At 37.8% G+C, this 7729-nt stretch overlaps 1 annotated feature.

The window, feature by feature from the left end:
- Nucleotides 6530–7729: an enhancer, noted in NCBI's record as "MED14-independent group 3 enhancer chr2:66397659-66398858 (GRCh37/hg19 assembly coordinates)". NCBI's record gives its function as "activates an origin of replication core promoter dependent on BRD2, BRD4, P300/CBP and CDK7 cofactors, and independent of MED14, by STARR-seq in HCT116 cells {active_cell/tissue: HCT116}" and the evidence as "EXISTENCE:reporter gene assay evidence [ECO:0000049][PMID:35650434]".

The following is a 7729-nucleotide window of genomic DNA, read 5'->3' on the forward strand; positions in this document are numbered from 1 at the left end:
TCTATAAAAATGCTCTAGAACTAATAAGTAAGTGTACAAAGGTCACAGGATACAAAATCAATGTACAATAAATCAATTAGTGTTTTTTATACACTCACAATGAAAAATCAGAAATTGAAATTGATAAAACAGAACCATTTAAGGTTAAAATATTATAAATTAACATTTATAACAGTTGCTCTGATTACTACTTATATATGCACATCTGGGTCCACATTTATAATTATTTCCTTAAATTAGATTTACAAAAAATATCAGTGTATTAAAGTAACAAATTTTTTAAAATAACTTATTTTCCCCTTTAACAAATGTCACATTGCTTTATTCTGTGCAAAACTTAAAAAACTTTAGCTGTGCAACAAGAAAATAGCAATGGGAAATATCTACTAATAAAATTTTATTGTATAAATACTTGAAATTTATTTAATTGTAAGAATAACATTTTCCAGAGTTCAAAAAATAGGGATGTATTTTACAATTGATTCTTCCCTTGAATGTGTACTTTTCTCCACTTCCTCCAAAGTAAGTGGATGCTGATCTTAACGATGGGTACAGCCTAACCACGGAAAGATAATTTTATCTGTAATTCAAATAACAGTGAGTTAGATGACATCACTGTAGTCTGAGCAAAAGATGAACTGCATTAGTTAAACTGCAATTAATGATGTGGATGAGGTGCCCAACTGGTCAAATCCAGCATCTGTTTTGAAGATAGAGTTGACACGACTCACTGTTAGATGGATGTGGGGTGTGTGGAAAAGATGAGTCGCTGGTTTTGGTGCAGAGAAACTAAAGGTGTAATGAAAGTAGTTACTAAGATGGCAAAGACTGGGAGAAGGGCATCTTAGAGTAGAACATCTAGTGTTCTTTTTGGACAAGTTATGTTCGAGGCCCAGATGAAGCCGTTGAACTCAGGAGAGCTCTCTGGGGCTTGAGAGAGAAAGGCTTGTGTTAGAGATGTAAACTTGTAAATTATCAGTGTAGAGATGGTATTCAAACCTATGACTAGTGAGTAGATGAGCTCACTCAGGGAGTGACATGGCCAAGAGGACCAAGGAGTAAACTCTGATACTCTCCAAATTTTAGAGTATATAAAATGAAGAACAGAGAAATTAAGAAGTTGTAGTCAGTATGATAAAAGGAAAAGAAGGAGGTATAGTATATTGGAAGTCAATTGCAAAAATGTTTCAAGAAGGAGGGAGTGGCCTACTGCTTTGTATTCTAAAATGCTTTTGGAAGTGGAGTAACAGGAGGAATAAGTCCTGACCACTGGATTTGGCAAGAACCATTTCAGTGGGATGTTCATGACAGCAGCCTAGTATAGACGACTGCTGGGGTGTTTTGCGCTAAAGAGAATCAGATAATTAGGGTGGTAGATTGAGGGAGATGTGGGGAGATTCATTTTAAGTTGGGATATAACATAGAATATTTGTGAGCTAATCAGAATAATCTGGTAAAAAGAGAGAAATGTATGATGTAGGAGAGAAGGGGATAATTTCAACATTGATAACTGTGAAAGGCTGAGGAGGAATGAGATTCCATATCCAAAGAGAGCTTGACAAAAGACAGGAGGGGGCCACTTCTTGCATTGCGGTGGAAGAGAAGCAGAGAATTTGGGAGTATCAATGCAGATAAATGGTGGATTTGATGTTAGTTCTTTCAGGGAATTCTTTTCTGATTACTTTTATTTTTCATTAGTGTATTAGGGTTCTCCAGAGAAGCAAAACCAATAGAAGATATATGTGTAGATATAAATAAAAAGAGATTTATTATGGAGATTGGCACACATGATTATGGAGGCTGAGAAGCGACATCTCTAAGCTGCAGAACCAGGAAAGCCAGTGGGTATGATTCAGTCTGAGGCTGAAGGCCCACGAACCAGGAGCTCCAATGTCCTAGGGCGGGAAAAAATGGATATCCCTGCTTAAAAAGAAAGAGAGAGAATTCCTCCTCTCTCTTCTTTTTCGTTCTATTTGAGACCTCAAGGAACTGGACGATGCCTGTCCATGTTGCGGAGGGCCAAGCACTGATTCAAATGCTAATCTCTTCTGGAAACACCTTCATGGACATGCCCAGAATTAATGTTTTACCAGCTATCTGGACATCTCGTAGCCTAGTCAACTTGATATGTAAAATTAACCATCACATTCGGAGAAAGAAGAAATAAGTTTATCAGATGGGAGGAGGGAGAGAGAAAAAGTGTTAGACATTTGAGAACAGACCAAAAAAGCATGAAATAGTCACGTATGAAATACCTACACATCATATGCACATCAAATATGTATACTCCAAAAGTGTAAATATACATACATTTGTCAGAATTTAATCATATAGTACAACTATATGTTTGATAAAGTTTTTTTATCTTAACAAGTTTTATGCATCTTTTTATAGAGTATAAATACTTAAAAGCCATTTGGTACACATTGTCAAATTGCCTTCCAGAAGGTTGTTCAAATTTACTCTCTCATCAGCAGTACATGAAAATATAAATCCCGTTGCATATTCAATTCACTAACATGGACTTTTAAGATGATATTTCACATTAAAATGGTAATATGGGAATATTATGAACAATTTTATGCCAATAAATTCCAGAACTTAGATGAAATAGACAAATTCCTTGAAAAGAAAGACACAATGTATCAAAACTTACACAGAAGAAAGTAAAAATTCTGAATTTCCCTAAGTCTATTTAATAAATTGAAATTGTTACTAAAAATTCTACCTCAAAGAAAACTCAGTTTAGATGGCTCCACTGAATTCTGTCAAACTTTTAAGGAAGAAATAATACCAAAGTTACACAAACTCTTTTTGAAAGTAGACTAGAAATGGACAATGAAGGAATACTTCTCAATTTCTCTGATGCCAAAACCTAATGAAGACATTACAGTAAAAGAAAATCACAGACCAATATTGTTCATGATCATGAACAAAAAGATCCTTAACAAAGCATTCATAAATTGAATTCAACAATATACGAAAAAAGTCTAATACATTATGACCAACTGTACTTTATCCCAAGAATGCAAGGTTGTTTTAACATTCAAAAGTTAATTAATGTAATTAATAATATTAGCAAACTAAAGAAGAAAATAGTTATTATCACAATAAAGGCGGACAAGAAAACATTTGACAACATTAAACAACCATTCATAATAGACACTCAGCAAACTAGAAAAGAACTTCCTAAAATGTTGTCTCATTAAAATTTTCATTTTTATTTGAAATACTGAGGTTATACAATCCCTTTATATGTTCATTAGCTTTTCTATTTTCTCTTCTATGAGTAAGCTATTCAGGGCCTATAAGGGATATGGTGTTTATCTTATCAATTTATATCATCTAGTAATATGTCATAAAGACTGCTAATGTTCACCATCTTGTTCTACTTTCTCATAGTTAAGCTATATGGTGGGAAGGGGGCACATAGTTAAGCTACTTTTTCCAGCCCCCTTCCCACCATCTTTGTATCAAGATGAGACCATGTACCTGAGTTTTGGTCAAAGAAAGATGAGCAAAAATATGTATGCCACTTATAAGCCTGCCCCATGCAATACAGGTATTCTATGTAAAACTTCATGAAATCACTCTCTATCTGCCTCTGTCTCTTGTTTGGTATAAGTCAAATATTCTGAGGACATAGATAAAGATACATATAAATAGTTTAGATCTCTGAGTTACTACTTGTAGGAGAGACATCCAGAAGACATGCACAACCAGGAGCCATCTACAGTGGGCTTTGGTACAAATGAGAAATAAACTTTTGCATGAAGGCATTAGGATTTAGAGATGTTTGTCACAGCTGTTAGCATTACATATAAACTGCCTTGCACAGCACTGACCTGTCATACATATCTTTCTCTCCTAAATATTATCTTATGTGAATAAAAAGATATGTAAATGTTTTTCTCTTTCTTTTAAAAAATGTTGTCTACATTCCAGGCACTATTCCAGGCACTGAGGTTATAGCAGTGGAGAACTGAGAAAAGAATCTCTATCTTCACTGTGTTTACTTTTTAGCAGGAAGACATTGACAGTAAATCATTAAGTAAAGTTATAATTTCACGTAAAGTAAGTGCTATGGAGAAAAAGAAAGCAGAGAAACGAATAGGGGATATCATGGTGAGTGTTCAAATTTCAAATAAGGTGGTCTGTGAAAGGCTCATTGAGAAGGTGTCATTTAAACAAAGACTTAAGGGAGATGAGTGAGTTAGCCACGCAGATATCTGGAGGAAGAATCATTCATGCATAGGACAAAATAAATAGAAAAAAATTCCCAAGGTAGAGCATGCCTAACATGTTTTTAAAAACACATTCAGAAGTCCAATGTAGCTAGAGCAGAATGAGCAGGGCAGAGGTGACTATGAGATGGTGTCAAAGAGGTAAGGTGTGGGTGGGAGATCAGTAAGGTCTTCTGGCTATTGTGAGGATCTGGGCTTTCCCTCTGAAAGACATAGAAGCCACTGTTGAAGGTCTGGCATGACAGACTCTGGCTAATGTGATAATCATGGGCAGTAGGTGTCAAGAGCAAAGTTGAGGAGGTCACTTAGAGACCATGACAATCATTGAGATGAGAGATGATGGGGGCTTGAATCAGGGGAGTTGCAGTGTAAGTGGTAAGAAGTGGCCAGATTTTGGATATATTTTGAAGGTAATAGCCAACAGGATTTCCTTCTCAGAGGTGGGATGAGAAAAAGAGAGGACTGAGTGACTGAAAGAATGGAATTGCTACCTTTTTGAGATAGGGAAGGCATGCTTATATGGGGAAATCAGGAGTTTCATGAAAGTCTGTTTCTTAAACTTTCAAGAGGAGATGTCAAGTAGGCAGTTGAATCTGATATATGCATCTGGAGTTCAGGGGAGAGGTCTGGGCTGGAGATGTAACATTTCCAAGTATCCAGCATTTTCTGGTATTTAAAGTCATATTTCAGAAAGAGATCACCAGGGAGTTAGCAGAGATAGAGAACAAGATGAAGGACTGAGTCTCCTTGGGCTTACAGTGAATGGGATACTGTTCAGATGTTAATTTTGTCCCATGTTCTGAGTGCTCTACTATGCTCTTAGTCAATGGAATCTCGTGTGGTGGATTATATCTTATACTCTGGGCACCATACTGCAAACTCCCTCAGCTAACTCCTGCTCTAAGTTCTCACCAAATCCAGGGTATTTTGCAGAGGTGTGGCTTTATCTGCTGTATTCTGTCTGCCATTTATTGTATTTTGCACACCTTTTGATCTTTTGTGGCTGATAAAGGCACGCAGATACTGACACTGGGCCCACAACAAAGAAACAAAGGCAGGTTGTCATTCTGGGCATTAAATGCAAATTTTGAAGTCACTGTAAGTGCCTTCACTGATTGAGGAAATGAAGATAAAGGTTAGCAGAGGAAACTAGAGTCCCTTTGATATTATGAATATCAAATATTGCTATAAATATCGCTGCAGACAATGCTAAGTGCTGGCCTGCTGGTTTTTTTTTTTTTTTTTTTTTTTTTTTTTTTGAGATGGAGTCTCACTCTGTCACCCAGGCTGGAGTGCAGTGGTGTGATCTTGGCTCACTGCAAGCTCCGCCTGCCAGTTTCATGCCATTCTCCTGCCTCAGCCTCCCGAGTAGCTGGGACTACAGGCGACTGCCACAACACCCGGCTAATTTTTTGTATTTTTAATAGAGATGGGGTTTCACCATGTTAGCCAGGATGGTCTGAATCTCCTGACCTTGTTATCTGCCCGCCTCAGCCTCCCAAAGTGCTGGGATTACAGGTGTGAGCCACCATGCCCGGCCTGGCCTGCTGTTTCTTGAAGGAGTCCTTGACCCTCTCATCCTTAAAGATACAGGCAGAAGACAGACATTCCACCAACACCCCAGGAGGTAATTCCTACCCAGGGACCAAAGCTTTGTCTTATAGGATACCCCTCCTCAACTATTGCTTCTGCTGAAAATTGATCCATTAACCCTGACTTCATTACCCCCAAATCCAATAAAACAATTACCCCCCGAAAAATAACAATGATGAAATAAAGCGGGTGTGAATACATAAGCACTTCTATAAGCAACCCAAAGCAAAACCTTTAAATAATCCCTTATACATATATGCAAAAACTAGATTTTTATGAACATTTCTTCTCTAGATATACTTTTTAAAGAAAGTGATACATATACTTTAAGGCCAGAATAAATAGAAAAATACTGCCTCACCGCTGCACTCCAACTTGGGTGACAGAGCGAGACTCCGTCTCAAATAAAGAAAAATACTATCTCAATGTCTTCAGTGAGAAACAAAAACCTTTATGGTCTTAACATTTTATTCATAAGGAGATGTTTATAGTTGTTTGATCTGCTGACTCAAGGTTCATATTTGAAACTAATTTATGATAATTTCTCAGATTTCTATAGACCTTTGAGAACTAAGGCTGACGATGCAAAGACTACCTATAAGCAGAAGGGCCGAAAAAAACTAATCCTCTCCTACATTTTCTGGACCAACTCTGAAGTAGACATTAAAAGAGGCCTTTGGGCCAGGTGCGGTGGCTCACACTTGTAATCCCAGCACTTTGGGAGGCCAAGGCAGGAGTATCATGAGGTCAGGAGATAGAGACCATCCTGGCTAACATGGTGAAACCCTGTCTCTACTAAAAATACAAAAAATTAGCTGGGTGTGGTGGTGCACGCCTGTAGTCCCAGCTGCTCAGGAGGCTGAGGCAGGAGAATGGCTTGAACCTGGGAGGTGGAGGTTACAGTGAACTGAGATCACGCCACTGCACTCCAGCCTGGGTGACAGAGCAAGACTCTGTCTCAAAAAAACAAAAAAAAAAAAGAGGCCTTTGATGAACAACTGGGGACCGGAACAAGAGGCCCAATTTCAGTTTCAACAGGTCATCAAATACTATATGAGTCAATTACATAAACACTGGAATTTCCCAACATCTGATTCCAATAGCAAGAGAGCAGCCCAGGTTCACAATGGAGATTTCTCAATAGGCAATGCCATTTTCCAGGTAATTAAAACTGTTTGTATAGGAGAGTAGATTTATCTTCTGAAACCATTTTAGCACTAGTGCTCTCCTGAGTGGTATCAGTTGACACACTGCATAATCTAGAACAGACTAATTGCCGCATGATTTCTAATTTTTCTGCAGCCATGTAAATGAGCTGAAGTCTGCACAGGTGGAGCCCATTAGAGTGAATGATTTCCCTCTCATGTTGTTATCTTCATTTGCCGTTGTCTTATCAACTCCAAGTAGGAAATCCGCTGTCATGAAAAGCAGGTGAGGGAACAATGTCTGGCTGAAAAGTCTTGTTTCATTATTTTTTAATTCGTACAGTCCTACCTGCTTAATGCAGTTTTCTGATTAGCATGCTAGGCATACAGTAATGCAGTTTTATTCAAATAAGGAGGAAGGGCTTTAATTTAAACTAAGAAATCATCTCCATTTCTTATCAGGGAACAAGGATTCGTGATTCAATAATACATGAATTTAATAATGCATAATGGTAGACTTCACAGGTACTAAATAGCAATACCAGAGTGGGTTAGTATGCTCCATGGGTTGCCATCTGAAACTCCCAATCTGGTTTATCCACATCCCCTCCCTTCATCTCTTTCTTTATTTCCTTTCAGCAAAAGAGTTGTGCTGTTTGCCTTATTCCTCTGACGCTGCCAAGAGCCCAACTCACAGGCTGCATCTTCACTTTACGACCGTGTTTAATAGCTGTTAAGCTGCTGGAC

The sequence above is a fragment of the Homo sapiens genome, chromosome 2 (genome assembly GCF_000001405.40).
Source record: "Homo sapiens chromosome 2, GRCh38.p14 Primary Assembly".
NCBI lineage: Eukaryota > Metazoa > Chordata > Mammalia > Primates > Hominidae > Homo > Homo sapiens.